The sequence below is a fragment of the Homo sapiens genome, chromosome 2 (genome assembly GCF_000001405.40).
Source record: "Homo sapiens chromosome 2, GRCh38.p14 Primary Assembly".
NCBI lineage: Eukaryota > Metazoa > Chordata > Mammalia > Primates > Hominidae > Homo > Homo sapiens.
Genome location: NC_000002.12, coordinates 154,404,448 through 154,424,429, shown reverse-complemented (window position 1 = coordinate 154,424,429; position 19,982 = coordinate 154,404,448). Strand labels below are relative to the sequence as shown.

General features: G+C 33.9%; 1 protein-coding gene across 20 annotated transcripts in view; it reads right to left on the bottom strand.

Moving 5' to 3' along the window:
- GALNT13 (polypeptide N-acetylgalactosaminyltransferase 13) overlaps nucleotides 1-19,982 on the bottom strand; it is a 1,388,282-nt gene that overhangs the window by 32,145 nt on the left and 1,336,155 nt on the right. For 19 of the 20 annotated variants that reach the window (NM_001422882.1, NM_001422883.1, NM_001422881.1 and 16 more), the window contains one exon: nucleotides 15,348-15,446. In NM_001422882.1, the coding sequence (NP_001409811.1) occupies nucleotides 15,348-15,446 (99 nt within the window). Of the gene's footprint in view, nucleotides 1-15,347; nucleotides 15,447-19,982 lie in introns of those variants that run through there. The other variant, XR_007069045.1, reaches the window with a different exon arrangement.

Here is a 19,982-nt window from a genome sequence, read left to right as displayed (position 1 = left end):
TTTAAAATATACTGTATATTAAATATGATATAGCACATACAGTATTATTCTTTTTTTGCAAATTAGGATTATGAGGTTTGCAAAGGTTAAAGAAGTTCTACAAAGTCACTCCGTTTGCAAGTGGGAGAGCCAGTGTTTGAACTATGGTCTGTCAGGCTCCAAGTCCCATGTTCTTTCCACACAATTAGCATTTCACTTCTTGGTGATACTTTTCAAACTCTAGAGTTTATTCAGATTTCATTAGGTTTTCCATCATGTTCCCCTACGAATCCAATCCATGCTCCTTTTTTCCAAGATCCCATCCAACAATATATTTTTAGTCATCATATGCCCTCAGCCTACTCTGATAGATGTTCAGACTTTTATCTTTTTGATGATGGTTTTGAGAAATACTTATCAGGCACTTTATAGAATATCTCTCAGTTTGAATTTTTCTAATGTTTATCTCATGGCTGGATTAGGGGTCTAGGGTTGGGGGTGGAAGACCTCAAAGGTACAGTGTCATTCCCATCACTTCAAGGGTGCACGGTATCACTATGACTCACATTATAGAATCTTGATTACATACTCAAGGTAGTATTTGCCAATATTTCTCCATTGTAAAGTTGCCACTATCCTCTTCCACATTGTAATCTTTGGAAGAAAGTCAACACAGCACACATGCCAGGGAAGGGGGAAGGTTATGTTATACCTCCTGGAGTAAGCTACAAAACTTATATGAAATTCTTCTGTACAAGGGATCCCAGAGAACAATTTTAACTTGTCTCTTAAAGCTTCAGTAAGAAATTGGGGGCTATGTATTTATGTTAGATTTATAAGTAACACCACATTAAGATTCATACATTTAAAAAATAAGTCCAGCTCGAAGAGGATGTGGAGAAATAGGAATGCTTTTACACTGTTGGTGGGACTGTAAACTAGTTCAGTCATTGTAGAAGACAGTGTGGTGATTCCTCAAGGATCTAGAACTAGAAATACCATTTGACCCAGCAATCCCATTACTGGGTATACACCCAAAGGATTACAAATCATGCTACTATAAAGACACATGCACACGTATGTTTATTGTGGCACTATTCACAATAGCAAAGACTTGGAACCAACCCAAATGTCCATCAATGATAGACTGGATTAAGAAAATGTGGCACATATACACCACGGAATAGCATGCAGCCATAAAAAAGGATGAGTTCATGTCCTTTGCAGGGACATGGATGAAGCTGGAAACCATCATTTTCAGCAAACTATCACAAGACAGAAAACCAAACACCGCATGTTCTCACTCATAGGTGAGAAATGAACAATGAGAACACTTGGACACAGGGCAGGGAACATCACACACCAGGGCCTGTTGTGGGGTGGGGGGAGGGGTGAGGGATAACATTAGGAGAAATACCTAATGTAAATGATGAATTAATGGGCGCAGCAAACCAACATAGCACATGCATACTTATATAATAAACCTGCACATTGTGCACATGTACCCTAGAACTTAAAGTATAATAATAATAAAAAAAATAAGTCCACCTCACGGGTCACTTGGTTAACTCACTGAGTGAAGAAAAAAAATCAGGTCTCTTTGTTAGGTGGATTGGAACATGACAATTTCTGCCACCCAGAAGTGGCACTTGCTCTCAGTAATGTGTAAACCATGAATTGGACACTGGCTATGGTGAGCTATCAAGACCACTTTGATCATTCCTTGGTGTTACGGTCTTAAAATGCATCTTTGAATTTTTTGTCTAAAAGAAAAAATCAAATTTTGCATATTACAGTCATAAACACATATTTTACTTTCTTAAATAAAATGAATATTCCAAACCTTTTTAGAGAGTTAGAACTAGAGAGCTGGAGTAGAAGTATGTCTATCTGGTAGGTTTTCATTAGAAGACTAAGATTTTCTATTCGAAATTGGAATGGACACTAGGCTGTTTCCATGGTTACCTACTGAAGCTTTTTTTCCTTTAATGGAAAGGTATCATTTCTGTATACACCACATGTAGCTTCATGCTTTGTATTGGATCAAATCCTTTGATAGCAGAATAAAAGAAATGAATTGAAAAAGTTTCTACAGTCTGCCCCTGCTTGCTGTGAAATTAGACTTCAACACTAAATAACATGAATAAGAAGCCCTTTTCATATTTGGCTGAATTCACAGTGTCATTTTTAATAACAAAAGTGCAGTCCAAGTATTTTCATGATGCTTATTACACACGATCCTTTGACAACCTTTGTAGTCTGAAAGCTCATTGCTTCTTTTGTCCCCTCAAGTCAAAATTCCCTTGCTTGACATTTACCTTCTATTGTAATCTTAGCTCTTCTACTTGTAAAACTTAATTTTCCACTGTCCCACTCCAGACTTTCAATTCCATTTGTGGCAGTGTCCTTGCTGTCCTTACTCACCCTCTGCTCTCTGTGCACGCTGAGTGCTTTGTGGAGTCTTTTAGACCCATTCCTGTCCTTATCAGAACTTTTCCTGAATGCCTCCTGTAGAGCATTATGAATGCTTGCTGTATTGTTAATGATTCTTTTGTATTCCCTATGAGATTGAGTATATGGTTTGTGTGCCTATTTATATTACATCTTGTTTCAAAGTGGATTTAAACAGCGATATCTATCTATAACAAATATATATATATTTCTTGCATGTATAATTATATATGATGTAATTAAAAGAAAAAACCCATTTCATACTGCTAACACATGCTTCAAATTAGTGTAGAATGCAATAAAATCCTAGAAAACGTATTTCTTGTGCAAAGAAAAAAGTATTAGACATATTTCAATATAAAGATAGCTTTTAATGTTAAGAATAGATTTGGAAAAAAATTAGAAATAATTTTTCTTCATCATTTATACAGAAAAATGACAATCTCATGATATCTCAGATCCAATTCCTTTTTGACATCATGAGTATATAATTAGGGCATGTAAAACCTATAATAGAAGATATTTTGCTGACATAGTATGACTACTACGTCTATATTTGTAGCAAGGCAAAATATATATGGGATATATAGTTAACTTTAAATGACATATCTAAAACATTGTGTTTTAGCCATATCGATGTGTAGCTTCCACTTGATTAGTCTCCTTACACTGGGCTACTTTCAATAATATTTTATATTTGATGACTCCTTTTAAAAATTGGTAAGTTTTAAGCAAGGAATCTTTAAAAAATCTTATACAGAATATAAAATGTATTTTGTGCTATAAAATATATCAAATATCTTCATTTCACTTGCATATTTTTTCAGATGTCTTCTTTTTCTAAACTTAATGTTTCTCTTCCCGGGATAAAGTATTAGTATTGCCTAGTCAACTATTTGAACATGAATTTCTTGTATAGTTTTATGTCATCTTGGCCTTATTGTGCTATCTTTTCATTTCTGAAAAAATAAGTTTTCATATTTAAAAAGCAAAAAAAACTAGGAATATCCTTGCCTAATTTATTCCAAAACTGTAACAATTTAATAACTAGGATGGAATTGCAAATGCAGTAAGATGAAGACAATCACAGGTACAGCAAAGCAACTAATCATAAGTATGGATTCTGCTTGGCTTCTCAAGAATATAAAAGTGGGCTAGGCAACGCTGTTAATTTAGAAATCACAGACATTATTTACCTTACCTAGAAAATAATAAACTGACTTTTACTACATGGATTAAGCCAAGATAAAGTTATATTATCTATTATAGAGTGCTTAAAATGGTTATGGTGAAAATAATTATGTCCTTGATGAAAAATAGGCATACAGCTAGTCTAAGGGTGATGGGGAATAGAAGAGTATTTCGAAAGACCTTAATATTCTTCACATATAGTAGACTCATGCATTCAAATCATTTAATTAAAAAAGTATTAAATATGATAAAATGTTGGCCGGAAGGTTACTTGAACAAGGATACATTTCACAGTAATGAGTAAGGTTATAGCCTCAAGTCAAAACGAATTAGGCATAAAACAGGAGAAAACTATTTGAAGACAAGGTGGAGAAAAGAATGAGGGTCAGAAGATTAAAGAGTACACAGGAGTAATAAGTTCTGCTGGAAATAAATATCTAGTTTAATGGAGACAAATTCATCTTGGTAAAGTCAGCAGAGAGCTTGCAGTCCATCTGTATATAACAGGAGCTTTAGAGGAGACAAATTGGTGGGCAATGGGTACAAAGTGGATGCTGTTAGTAGCAACACATTTTCCTTTTAGTAAATTTTTCAGGTAACAGATTCCCATTTTCAGTAAGAAAAGTTGTCCTGATGGTTGAGGTACGCCTTTGTGTCTACGTGTATGTGTGTGTGTATGTAGTGGGGTTTTATTAAACCAGGGTAGTATTAAACGTTCTGCTTTATACACTTACTGTGATATTTCACTTTAAGGGGAGTTTTTCCAAATATTCTGGGAATCCCATTAATAAAACTGATACACATTTATGTACATTAAAAAACAGAATATCATTTTAATGTTTAAGCCTTATAGAAATGTAATATTAATCTCAGTTATGCATGGGATGATGGTGATATACTTTAACCAATTAATCAACAGAATAATATTTTGTCCTACTATTTGCACTGACATACTTTGCTATTTTCTAAGATGCCTTCTTAGACACTGTCTTCTCCAATTTGGTCTGGTGTCCTTCCCTTGTTGGTGCCATAGTCCCTTTTCCATGTACTGCTTTTCTTATCGATAATCACAGTAGATATCCTTATGATTTTAACACCAGGAATATCTGAACTTTTACGAAGCTGTTTTTTAATATTATGGACACAAGGAATCATATAACCAACTTTGTGCTCATAGCTAGAAAGCATAGAGCCAAAGTTGTGACTTATTTAAATCAATGTAGGATCCCATGAAATGAATTTTAAATATCTTATGAAAATGGAAAAGGTGTTTTCTAGATTGACTTGAATTGACAATTTTTCTAACACTTTTGAAAAAATGTCTTACATGGTAGATGTTAACAATCAAAATGTAGAAACATAAAATGAGACTCTACAATACTTAAAAGATAAATCTAAAAAACAGCCAATACTAGTTTTCAATTTTTAAGAGATCTTAAGAAAGAAAACAAAAACTTACAATCTTTGAGTAACTCTTGTCAGGGAAAGAAAAGGGCCAAACATGACATATTTAACATTTCTATGCTAGAAAACACTGTGGCCAGGCAACACTCGGCAGGATCAGATCACAAGTTCCTACAAGTTTTTATCAACTCCAAGTTTTCATAGATGTTCCTCTGATATAATTTTCTTGAATTAGGAAAATGTTACTTGTTGATTTTTTGCTCAATTATTGGATAAAATAATTTTAACACTCCTGTGCAGGATTTATTAACAGAAGGAGCCATTATCATTTAATATTTTAAGGATTTCATTTTAGTTATTTTATATTTTTATTAATATAGGATTTATAATTGACAATGTTATTTACAATTACTATGATGGTAGAGAATACAAAAATTTGAGTTAAAATAGAATCTCTAAAAACAAAAATTCTACAATTAAAACTTTCTGAAGAATCAGTACTATATAACTGAGGTCCACTCTTTCTAGCTATCACAACATGTTTAGAAGTATCAGGATGAAATCATGTATGTTTCCAACTTTGAGGAAGGTTTAGTATCTTAGAAATTTTTGTCCAAAGAAGTTGGCTATTTATGAACTCTGAGCTATACTGTTTCTAGAATTTTCTTTGTGAGCCCTTAATTTCCTGTCGTTGATAAAACAAATTATCACAAACTTGGAAGCTTAAACAGGAATTTATTCTCTCACATTTCAGGAGGCCAGAAGTCCAAAATCAGTTTTACTGGGTGGGAATCAGGTATCAGCAGGGCCTCTTTCCCTCCAGAGGGTCTGGGGGAAAATCTAGCCCTTGCTTCTTCCAGGTTCTTGTGACTACAACCATTCCCTGGCTTATTGGCCGCTTTACTCCAAGCTCTGCCACTATGGTCACATCACCTTTTCTTCTCCCTCTGCTTCCCTTTTATAAGGATACATGTGGTAGCGCGGCTATCTAGATAACACAAGATTATCTCCATATCTCAAGATCTTTAACAAAATCATGTCTACAAAATATTTTTTGCCACATAAGGTAAAACACAGGCTCCAGGGGTTAGAACATGGGTATCTTTTGATATTCATTTTTCAGTTACCAAAGCCCCAAATCCACACATTTCTAGAGGAACAATTTCATCCTCCAGGAAGATGATTTTAGTTTATGTAGTCAGAATTTTGAAGCTATTTTTATGATAACAGGCTCTTGTGTAACTTTAAACATTTTTATAACAATTGTTTACTTGTTCATTCTTTTAATAAGCGTTTATTCCTGTAAGGGGATTTTTTAAAAAGAAAAACAACAAATTCTTGCTTCCAAAAAAGACTACAATTTATTTTTGCAGATAGGATAATGAAACATACATAATTGAATGACAACATAATGATTAAAGAATAAAATATTGAGAAATAATATATAAGTTAAAAACAAGAGAAAAAATTCTGCAGTCTAAGTTCAAAGGAAATATAAATGTATATTGAAAAGCAGAAAAAATACAGCACTATATAGAGATGGTGGGTTTTGAAGTGCGACTAGATTGATAGAATTTACATAGTTCTAAAAGTGGCCGGGCGCGGTGGCTCACACCTGTAATCCCAGCACTTTGGGATGTGGAGGCGGGTGGATCACCTGAGTTCAGGAGTTCGAGACCATCCTGGCCAACATGGTGAAACCCTGTCTCTACTAAAAATACAAAAATTAGCCAGGTATGGTTGCGGGTTCCTGTAATCCCAGCTACTCGGGGGGGCTGAGGTAGGAGAATCACTTGAACCCGGGAGGTGGAGGTTGCAGTGAGCCAAAATTGTGTCACTGCACTCCAGCCTGGGCAACAGAGCAAGACTCCGCCTCAAAAAAATAAATAAATAAATAAATAAATAAATAAATAAAAGCATGGCAAGGTCATGGCAAATGGGTTTAAGAAAAGGCAAAGCTATAAGAAAAACAACAACTAACAATAACAATTTTTTACAAGTCTGGTCAGGGTCCATAAAGTTGATGGAGTAGAGCAGAAAGGGGTCAAAGTTGTGTAAACAATGCCAATTTTATCCTGTAATAACTAGGAACTCTTTCAGGTTTTTTTTTTTTTTTTTTTTTGGTGCTTGTTTGTTTTTCCAACTGGGAGCGATAATTTCGACGGAGTCATCACTTAATTATTTAAGGAAGGTGGAATGAAGATAGGGACAGGCTGGAGTTTGGGGAAACTACACTGAAAATTATTGTAGTAATTCAAGTCTGAGGCAATCAAGGCTCAAATTTAGAAAGCTGAGTTATTAATGGAAGAAAAGAAGAAATAGATTTTAAAAAGACTAGTAGAATGAATCCCCAGGGCTTAGGTCCAGTTTGTAGTGAGCATGGGGTGATGAAAGATGAGAGAGAAAAATGTAAAAGATGAAAGAAAGAGATTAGAGGACAAAAGGCTTGGGACAAAAGGTAATTATAGACACACTGAGTTTGAAACAATGGCTGCAAGCCCAGGATATGGTACAACTTTGACGCCTCCTTAAACTTGAGGGGATTAATTTTGCAGAAAAATAAAATGTGAAGAATCAAGACTGAACAGAGTAGCATGGCAATAAGAGATTCACTGACATGTAAAAGTATCCTAAGACTTTGTTGACACCTGACTGATCAAATGATCACAGGGCCTATTGGATTTACTTAAAAGAAAACTTCAAACTTCATTGTTTGAAGAACTTGAGGGTAAAGAGATAACTCATGATCCCCCAAAAAGCTAGCCAAAGTGAAACGTTTCTTTTCTTTGGATATTTTCCCCTTAGTCATATACTACCTAGAGTGTTTATTATTGACTAGGATAATCAGGTTTTGTTGGATGAATGATTGACTGAAATTATCATTTGTTGTAGTCTAAACGTTTGAGTCCCCCCTCCCAAATTCATGCATTGAAATCCAGTCCCCAGGGTGATAGCATTAGAAGTCTGGGCCCTTAGAAGGTGATCAAGTCATGAAGTCTCTGCCCCGAGGAATGAGATTAGTGTCCTCATGAAAGAAACCCAGAGATCTAGCTCTTCTCTTTCACCATGTGAGCATGCAAGAAGAAGGCTCAATGAACTTTTCCCTCATCAGACACCAAATCTGCTGGTGTCTTGATCTTGGACTTCTCAGCCTCCAGAACTGTGTACAATAAATTTCTGTTGTTTTTAAACCACCCAGTTTATTGTATGTTTATTATAGCAACCCAGATAGACTAAGACAGCATTCCATCCCAAGTATAGTATAATCTCCTGACAGGAGGACAAAGTCAGCAAAGACCAGAGAAGTTCTCCCAGTCAAGCATTAATGATAATGAAAGGCTCTTGTAATAATTCCTGTTTCTATAGAAGTTGTGGTAACCCTGCTTTCTTCTAGCTTGCATGTATCCAACTCATTTAAACATTTAATGAATGGTAGATTTTCCTTCTTTCCTCATAGGCCATTCTATTTAACTTGCAAATTTACTCTGTGAAATCCCTGGTAAGTTTTAATTCCACTGTGCAAGCTACTAAAAAGGGACCAAATTAGTATTGAAATGGCTTCTAAGTAATTACAGTACTTATAAAAATGCAAACTTTAAAATGAATATATATCTGTTGAATGTATTCATTACAATCTGTGAGTACATTAGAACATATTAATAAAATAATTAAGCTTTCTCTAGGAGAGGATCTGTAATGAAACAAAGTATTTGTTTACTCTCTAAATTTTTAATACACCTGTCATAAGATTAGATTCAATTTAAGTAATCAGATGTTAGACGAGGAGGAGATATTTGTATAAAAGTGTAGATCATACCTAATGATCTCTTCTTTAATCTTGGCAGAAAACAGCATTTTAACAAATGGCTAGCATAAGCTTCCTTAAAGGCTTGCTACCTTGAAAAATAGCTCTGAATCATTTACCGCAATAAATTATATGGAATGTTTCCACGTGCTTTCTAGCTGTCTTCAAATGAGTGGCTCCAGGGAGAAAAAGAAACATTATAAATGCATTCACTAGGGTTGTGAATATTTTTCCATTACTTTACATTTTTTTGCCTTTAAAAGGAAAAGGTACAATGTGTATGGGGCTATTTTTATTCATTTTTAATTAAAGATGTGCTGCTATTCAGAGGGAAACAGCATTGAATTTTTAAAATTGTTACAGTGATTAGTTTCAAAGTAAAATGTTTATGTTATAAATGTTATGTTAATTTAATTTTTACCTAATTATGAATATATTTTATGTATTAGAGTTTTTTTTTTTTCTAGAGATGGGGTTTTGCTACATTTCCCAGGCTGGACTCAAACTCCTATGTGCAAGAGATCTTCCTGCCTTAGCCTTCTGAATAGATGGTACTACAGATGCATGCCACCATGCCCAGCTATTTTATGTAAATTTTAAATAAAAATTAATATCAGTTTGAGTAGATATAACATATTCCTAATAAGACTATGATCTGAGTACCAATTTTGATATTATGCCTTTATGATGATATAAATGTTTTTTCAAAGCACTTTAAAAATGAATGGCATTTCTACACAAAAAAGAGAAAGTATTAAGGCAAACATTGGTTTTAATATATAAACTTGAAAAGTCTGTATATAAAAAAAACTGTAAACAAAAAGTCAGAAAAATGTTTGCAAAATGCATGACCAGGGCGATAATATTTAACAAAGTATTCTTATAAATGACAAGAGAAAAAAGACCCCTTTCAACCCCCAATGGAAACATAAGCAACAATATCACTAGAAAATTTGCAATAACAATTTTTGAAATGTTTAAATGCCAGTTTTTAAAATCATTAAATGCACTGATAATGCTAGAAATATGGTTGAAACAAGATAAAATGTTTCTCCCATACTAAAATGGCAAAGATAAAAAACAAAAAAAAAATATAATACACAGGGTTGGCCACTGCGATTATAATCCTGGAAAGTGTGGTTGGAAATCAATGCAAATACAGTGACTATAAACCTGGTGTGGAATCAGACTTAGGTTCACACTGGCTTTACCATTTCAATCATGATACTAATCACTCAAGATTTCCATTACATTCGTAAGTAAAATAAGATAATAACACTATCTACTTCAAAGATCATTGTAAGTCTCAAAGAGGGTAATTTGTATTAAATGTTTATCAGAGTCCTTTTTATTTTAGCTATTAGTCTTATTTGCTGAAATCTTAAGAAAAAAGAACAATTTGTTAGTATACCTTAAAAGCCTTCTAATTTTGCATAACCTTTGATTGAGCAAACATACTTCTAGACATATTTCTAAAGAAGTAAATATTAGTGATCACCAGATTTTAGCTACAAGGAAATTGATAGGCTTGGTTTATAATACTGAACATTTACAAATATTGTATGTTAAACAATAAAAGAATAAATAAATTATAGCTTATCCATTAAAAATGTGTCCTGTAGCAAATGTACTTCTAGAGATATTTCTAAAGAAGTAAATATTGGCGCTTGCCAGATTTTAGCTACAAGGAAATTGATGGGCCTGGTTTATAACAATGAACTTTTATAAATATTGTATGTTAAACAATAAAACAATGAATAAATCAATTATAGTTTATCCATTAAAAATGTGTCCTGTTTAGGTTAAGGAGTTGCTAATGAATAGCTAGCAAATGAGAAGCTAAATTATCGGGTTTTCAACAGTGAGTGTGTCTTAAGTTTTTTAGTGGAGCAGAGTGTAGCCAACAGCTCAATTTCAGAGAACAGTGTAAGTGAACTGCTAGGATAGGAAAACACTGAAAGCATTCAAGGAATGAGAAATCATGAGACGTATGTCTAGAGCACAGGAGACCGATGGGACATCAAGGTAGATCAGGCTGGAAAACCAGATGGGGATACAATTATGAGGGGTTTTGTATATCATAGGAAAGAATTTGGCTTTTATTCTTTGGGCAGTGGAAAGCTGCTGAATATTTAATGAGATGTTAAACTAATGTAGCATGAATTATGAGTTATGAAAATAATGAGGTTTTAAATCCATATGGGTAAAAGTAGATATAGGCTAGAACAAAGGCAGAGATCCTGGTTATAAAAGGACTAAGATGTAGGGACATTTTTCCATAGAAGTGTTGGGATTTGGTGACTAATCGGACTTCAGAAGTATGTTTCTATGTTAGGTTTCCATTTTGGATGACTCTGTGAAAGGAAAGGAAATGAGTTCAGTTTGGAAACAGGTGGGTTTGAGATGTCTGCAGACATTAACGATAATTAACTGGCTATAGATTCTAGAGCTCAGGAGAGAGGTTGGGGCTGTACATGTAAATCTGAGTCATTAACATTGTACGGGACATGGAAGTGCTTCCAGGAATCCATGCCATCTTTCAGAAGTACAGAGAAGACACTCTCACAACTGCTATACTTTATTTCAGTAAATTGTAACTTCTGTCTTTCACTTGTAAAAGTTTATATTCAAGTTAATCAAATTATTCTTATTCTTTTCAAAGTGTTAATGATTATCATGAAGTTGCTTGACAATGAAAATAAATCATTGCAAGAATAGATATAAATGGAGTGCTGAATTTTGTTATTCTTTGAGTAAGACAGTTTTTATTTATAAGGCTTTAAAAAAAGAGCACTTCAAAATGGTCATGTTGAATTGAATAATAATTCTCCAGTTGTTAGCTTTTGCAGTATTCCTGCTACAAAAACTTTCATTAACTCCATTTAGATTTTGCTGGGAAATCTGAGTGTTTAAGAAAATTATTTCTAACAACTACTGAAAAGTAAGTTTCTTCCTGATGTTTCCAAGGCCTTAAAAAACCCCTAAACTATCAAAACTCCTATGCAAGGAGAAATGGTTAAGGTATAATTGTTGACAAACAAAAAAAAAATACCTTTTTTTAGAAATGTAACTAAGTTAAAAAAGGATTTTAACATTTGTTATGATTTTTGTGTAAAAGCAAGAGAGAGAAGCTTGAGTGATTTTTATGGGTTGGGGGCTACTTATAAAACAGTCAAAACTAAATAACCATAAAAATAATTGCTGCTTCCATGGTAACATAAAAGAATAGCAATAAAACCAGGGAGGGTAATTCTGAGAATAAAATTCTAAAATCTGTTTTTTATTAAAGTGAGAAAGACAAAACCTGAAACAGGTTCCTAGTATTAATTATCTTAGAAATATTGAATTCCATCAGAGCAGAATTCATAATAATTGAGTTTTATATGATGGTTAAATTTTTCCATAATCTGTATTTGTTAGAGTTACAGGAGAGGTTGTTCATCGTTTTGAAATCAACAATACCAAATTAAGTGTTGTGCTTTTATCTTGCTTGTGACATTAGCCACTGAACGAACATTTTTTAACTTCAGAAATAAGAGAATTAACAACATCAATAGAAATAACAAGTAAAGGGGCTAATTAATGGCAATGGATCAATACACATTGCATGTTTAGTATGTGCCATGTTTAGTGTTAATTTTTTTAATGAATTTTCCTAGTGTTAGAAAAAATTTGAATGAAATCTTTTGTTCATTTTATGGACAATCAATATCAAAGCTCAAAAATATTATGTAACTTGCCATAAGTTACCCAATTAATCAGATCAGGGTAATGCAACACAACAATGTTCTTCTAGTCTCAATAGTTTAAATTTCCCCATTCTTATTTAATTATGAAGGAAATACATGTACTACTGTATGCAGAAAAATGTGCGGTAAAAAGGAAAATTTCTTTTCCAACTCAGTCTTCTTTCCAGATATCCACTCGCCAGATACAATCTATATTCCAGATAGATTTTTATAGATTTGTAATAGATTACATAGCATCCATATAAATATACAGATACTATATATTGTTCAAATATTTTTTCATAAATGAGATTATTGAAAATAAGTTGTCTGGATTGTTTTTCTCTTTTGAAGTTCTAGTGACACACATGCAGACCTCCCTCAGTCATTTTGATGGTATACAGCTTTCTATACTGTGCGTATACCATGCTTTATTTAACCATTCCCCTCTTGGTAAATACTGAATTGTTTCCATTGTTTGTGTTTTAACAAAAAGGGCTCCAAAAACATTTGTGTGTGTGTGTGTGTGTGTGTGTGTGTGTGTGTGTGTGTGTATGTGCAATTAAGTATGTAGATGGAAAAATAATGGTTTTAATTTTTATCTTGTTATTAAATTGATCTTGTAGAGCACATTAGAATAAAAGTAGGGATAGATTTTATGCTTATTATTATTTGATCACTTTCTTTATGAATCCCTGAGCTGTTTTTATATACTTTTAGTTACTATGAAAATAACAGCTCATTATTTCTTGGCAATGTCTACAAAGTTCTAAGGTACAAATCTACTGTTCTGGCAATACAATCTTTCATCTATTTACTTGCCTAGTATTCGTTAGGTGCTCACCATGTTCCAAGACTGCAGCAGGTGCTGGGTATGAAAACAGGAGTAAGATATAGGACTGCCAGCAAGAAGTTTGCAGTAGAGTGAGATAGCTTATTTCTGGGTATTTGAAAACGTGCAGATGAATAAAGTAATTTTTAATATGGCACTGTAATGATTCTATGTAGAGAATTCATCTGGGGTACCTTTCTTATTTTCATAAGCAATAGAATGAGAGAGATTTCATAAGTAGTGTTTCTTTAAATTCTGTATGAAATTATGGAGCAGATAATTAGCTGATTTTTTTTGCCATAAGTTGTTCAAACAGATTATGGCTGGCACTTCTAAATGTCTCCCCAATATCTTGGTAAATGAACTGTGAGAAGCAGCTACTTGTGAGTGTGGGGTTAAATATTCAGTGTTTTGTTGTACTAGGGATGTCCAAGTAACACATTTTTACCTAAAGAGAGATACACTGAGACGTGTAGAGCCTCTAGGAAGGCTTTTGCTTTTCCTAAAAGAAAAACAGATATGGCTATTGCAGTTCTTCCCTGACTTTGATATTCCTGCCTTGAATGTGGATATGATGTCTGGAATTTCAGCAGTCCTCTTCTGACCAGCTGATGATAAAAGTTAACTCTAAACACTAAAGAATGGAAAGACATAAAGTTTTTGGTTTCTTTATGAAATCATTGAGGTCCTAAACAAATGTCAGAATTTTTATTATGTGAGAAAATTAAACCCTCACACATTTAGTCCTCTTATAGTTAAGCATTTTGTTGTTTCCAGCTGAATTCATCAGGACTTCATTGGTTTTTGGCAGTAGAGGCCTGTCACATTCATTATGAATCAGTGAAACAATAAATGGAATCATTTCTGAATGCTTTGTCATTAGTCTGCCTATGTTGTTTCTATCCTCTTCCTCCATAAGGTCAATTTCCCATGCTGTAATTTAGAAATTTGGTTTAAATATTTTCTTGCTCAAATTGACAGTTTGGAACACTAATTAGGATTTTTTAAATTAAGAATTTTTAAGGGAGAAACTTCCTTTTAATGTTCTCCATTAAATAACACCGGCCCTGTTTGAAGTATGGTGCGCCAAAACTCAACAGAGTTCATTTTCTTCTTTATAGTACAAGAATCAACAAGTATTTTTGTAATAAATCTTGACACAAATATAACCATAATTGTGCTGGACAGGATAACTTTTGCAACCTCGGTTCACACTAACTCAGAAATTCTACCTCTGGATAAAAAACTTTTGGTTCTCCTAAACTTCTGTAGATAACTTGTTTACAGAGGATTAGCTACCTCAAACTCTGCTTTGTTGGTATAGTTCCCAGGAACTCCAAATTCTACCTCTCAAAGTGGCCATGGCAGTAAAATAGCTCTGTCCTGAAGACTCACAGCCAAATAGCCTCCATGTGGCCCACCATGCAAAGCTTTTTTCCAATGCTTAAGAAGAGCACAAGAACTCTTGTCACACACAAGAAAGGCTGTCTAAGACTTTTAGTCAGCTTTCAACACTGAACTATATACTTAAACATTTTATTAAACTTCAAAAGCTCTTAAAAATCATAACATACATAAAAATCTGAAAAGAGATGGATAAAAATAACCATTGGGAAAACATCACAGATGTTGAGGAATTATTTTCTATATTCAGTTAATAGAATAAAATGTACTCCTCTCATTTGCTAATACATGATAAAATGAGATGTGTCTAAAATATTTGGATATCTTCATTAACTGTAGGCACACTGAAAGTGTTGCTCTTTTTATTTTAATTTTTCAGCTCTCCTTTAAGATCCTTGGGACAATAAAATAGCCAAATTAGTTCTAGATTTGAGTGTACATTTATTTATTAAGCTCAGTTTATAGTTATTAACATGTGAGCCATGGTCTCCACTGATAGTTTTAACAATATTTTCCCTCTAAAACATGAAGCTGATAAAAAGGGAGAGTTTACCTGATTTCCTCCCATACCATGACAGTTGAATATACCCACTTTTTCATTTTCCTTGCGGCCCATGTTGTCTAAACACTGATTGGTTTCAACATTTCTTATCTAAAGGAAACACACAAAAGGGGGGGGATAAAACATAAATCAGACAGTTATTTAAGTCATCAAATCCTTCTCATGTTACTATCTATTGTTAACTGAATAATACAACTTCATAAGAAAATTTCTCCAAGAAAAACATATTACTTTAAATATTTGTCTTTTTCAGTGTCCATTCTTAACCTGTATACATTTCTAAACTCCTCCTGAAGTTTTTGAACAGAATTGGCATTGGCATCTAATCAAGAAACATTCCCTGTTTATAGCATAGTATCATAGAAGAAGGAAGCAGCTGCATATTATGAATTAGGAATTCTTCCCCAAATCCTCTGAAAATTAGGACACACTTTTCATATTCCACTCAAATAACCATTGACTATTCTTGAACTCCTATACTATTGCATGGAAGGAAATAAAAACAAATTGGCTAAATATTGAAATTTATGTTCTTTTTAGATTGCTTCATTACTGTATGTTCCATTCTGTGTGTTAATAAAGATTACACTGTTTATATCTGTGAGTAAAACATTTTCATGCATCTTCTTTCATGCCTAATGTCAAACTTATTGGGAAGTGCTTGACCCTAAGGAAAGCTATTACAATGCTAAACAGTGATTTCACATTACAAATTCCTCAAAAGCAAGATTGAATTGCTGACTACAGACATAAAGTTCTTGGTTTACATTCAAACATGGCATTAGTCCCATAATTAACATAAAGTTAATACATATTTGTGCCAAATGTAATTACAAAACCAATAATTGACTTTAAAGATACTAATCTCACTGAATCAAGAACAAATGAATGCAAAAAAGAAAAAAACCTTCAACCTTCTAATAAATGGGATATTTCAGATTTTTACTTAGTCTCAACCCCAAGTATGTATTTATGCTTGTCCACTCTGCTTTTGAAAAGTTTGTATCTCCGAACCATAGACATGCATATTTTACTGTTCAGTTGGTAGAATTATTGGACACATATATTTACTTATCTATGCTCTGAGTACATGTTTCCTCACATTGGCTAATGAATAAGACAGGAAACTTACTACATAAACATATAGAGGATGAATTTGGTTTATACAATTCACTTTTTCTGTGGTGCAGAACCTCATGGCCAAGTACTAGTACCTGGAGTTGGGGAAAGTGGTATGACTTGCATTAAGGCCCCCATCAATAACTGAGAATAGTATGGATCAGAATTCCCATTTGGTAAATGTTAGAAAAAACTGGACAGAGTCATCAAGCCCTGTTTCAAGGGGCTGAGATTTAGAGCAGAGTTATATGTGTTTTCATAAAAAAATCTGAGCAGCAACCCATTAAAAAAGACAAAACACACACTGAATATTACAAGGAAAGGGCACGGGCTTCTAGAAGCAAAACCCGGTACCTGTTCATATAGGGCTGAAATATATTCTCAATCTGATTTCAGGTGGTCCAGACACTAGAAGGGATTGAACCTATAGGCAAAAGACCTTTCAGGACCTGCAGCTGGAGAGGATTAAGGAAGGTAACAACTGATAAATTGTAGTATGATGTAGTAAATAGGATGGTATAGGTTGCACATAGTCTGATCAAATTATATAAGTTGAATTATTTTTAAATCCCTTACATCAGATTTTATTGACTTTTCATAAAAGGAAGATTTCTTGAAAATAAGATTATACATTATTGCTATTTAGTTCCTAAAAGAGTGTAGGACAGTATAATGCCATTATACTTAGAGAAATACATATCTCACAAAATGACGAATTCATTTTTAGATGTAAGGTATGCAATCTGATTAGAAGAATCTCTGCTAGGTACATGGTACTTGAATAGGCACTAATTAATAATTACAGGGGTTACAGCTTGAATTGTTTGTAAGGCTTTCTCTCTCTGCTGGAAAGCAGAAAATTCAAAGCCATATTCAGCCTAGTACATACTCTGACAGTGGTACTGGAAAGGGACTTATCGGAGATGCATGCCCTCTTACTCTTTGACAAATTAAGAAATACCTTTAAGAATGGCTCCAAAATATTTTGCCTTCAGTAACAACCTATTATTGATCTATTTTCTACAAAAGATAACACTTTAATGTTTTAGTATGTAACACCTCTTGTGAATTCATTTATTCAATTGAGTAGTAGTATCAGGAAAATGTATATCTCATACCAGGCACTACCTGAGGTGCTGAGGAGACAGAAAGGAACAAAATAAACACAGTCTCTTCCTTCATAAAGCTTATGTTTTAGAAGGGAAGAGAGCAACAAATAAATAGATTTGTAATATGTCAGAAAATCAAGAAGTCCTGTGAAGAAATATAAAGCACAGTAAGTAAGGGTAGATAAAGTGAAGGAGATGGTACTATTTTAGAAAGGAAAGGTCAGTTGGAATAAAGACACTTGAAAAGACGTTTAATGAAGAGGAGAGCAACCATATTTTCATCTATGGAAGGACATTTTGGGCAGGGGAACAGCAAATGGATGCTCCCTGTAGTTGGACAGTACTGAGTGAAATAATGGACTAGCCTTGTACCACCACTGCAGTGAGCAAGGGGCAGGTTAGAGAGGTATCCCAGACTAAGTAATGTAAGGAATCATGAGAGTTTTAGCATAGGCATGGTATAATAGTAGCTTATTGTGGCTGCTGTGCAAAGAGCAGATTAGAGGGAGGAAAGACTGGAAGCAGAGAAACAAGGAAGAAGGCCACTGTAGTCATGCCAGCAAGAGATGATGGTGATTAACAGAATAACAATGGGGGTGGAAGGTCCAATTTCAGATATATTTTGAAGGTAGAGCCACTGGAACTTTCCATTGAATCGAATGTGAGTTATAAGACAAATAAAGACATCAAGAAACATGCCAAGCTTTGGGCCTGAACGAGTGGGCAAATGCTATTTCTATTTACCAGGAACAATAGTCTTGAGTTCTTGCATGTTGATAAATATATCTGTGGCTGCTATACTTGAAAATCACTTTGATAGATCTAAAATCCATGACTCACCAAACTTGACTACCTTTTAAATGTTACTCCATTTACTTCCAGAGTAAAGGATTCCTTTGAAAACTCTGATGACAATCTGGGATTTTCCCCCTCTTAATTCTTACAAGTATCTATTTCCCTCGAAGCCAAACTGATTTTTTTATCTTTTAAGTTTGGGAGATTTCCTACAATGTATCTTGACATTACTCATTATGGATCACTCTCGCAGGGATGTAGTGTTCCTTTTCACAATATCGTTGCAATTTTATTTTCAGAAAAGTTTCCCGGAATTATAGTCATTATTTTATTTTTCGAGATACAGTCTCACTCTGTCGCCCAGGCTGGAGTGCAGTGGTGGCAATTCTCTGCCTCAGCTTCCCAAGTAGCTGGGATTACAGGTGCCCACCATCACACCTGGTCAAATTTTTTTTTTTTTTTTTTTAGAAGAGATGGGGTTACATCATATTGGTCAGGCTGGTCTCGAAATCCTGACCTCAGGTAATCCACCAGCCTCATCCTCCCAAGGTGCTGGGATTACAGGTGTGAGCCACTGCACCCTGCCTATAGTTATTAATGTTCATTTTATTTCATTGGTTTTTCTCTTTAGGAAATCCTAATATTTTTGGTCTTGTTGCTTATCTTCTATATGTGTCACTTTCAATTGAACAATTTAGTTTCCAATTTTTATATTTTTAGTTGCTCCTTTTTCTTTTCTAAAATTCTTATGGCATGCTCTCGGTATTATTCACTCATGTGTTCTTACAAGTTTGGCCTTCATTTCTGAAATGATTTAGTCTTTGATTTCTAATTCTTTCCTGCATTATACTTGCACATTTCAGTTTTTCTAAATTTATGTTGTTCTTTTCTATATTCTATCATTTAGAGCATTTATTTTAGCATCTTTTGAAATATTAGATTACACTTTTCCTCTGTCTTATGAGCATAAAGTACTGGTGTGCTTGCATTGTTTGCAGAGATACCATTCTACTTCTTACTATCTTTTTCTTACATCAGTCATGCTTTTCTAGTTTTTCTTTTCTCTCTTCCTTTTGTTCTTCCTTCCTTCTTTCCTTTTTTGCATAAGATCAATTTTCCTAGTCTTTTAAGGGGAAATGATTGATCAAAAGACCATTTCTATTTTCACAAATATGGAACACCTTTTTCTGTAGTTTTTGAAGTGTTAAAAAAAAAAATTACCCTTCTATTTCTTGAGACCTCCTGACCCCATTTACCTCACCCATTTTAATCTGGACCATTCATTTCCTTTTCCTCCCACTCTAGTTGGGCTTTATTCCCCAAAGTGTCTTCTGAGAAGGAGCTTCAGCTAGTGAGTTTCAAGAATTCACAGACTGCAGACTGTTCAGACCCTTCAGATATTAGAGAGGAGTTTTTTTTCTCACCTGCAAAGTACTTCTCCCATTTTCAGCTACTATTATCCAATTGGCCTGAAACAATTTCTCATGAGTATCTATTAGAAAATTGGGTGTTATCCTGACCTCATTTCCATCAAATACCTCATTGCTTTCCTCTGTTGTCTCCTACAAAAATTGTAGTATCATCTGGGTCATGACAATGTCAG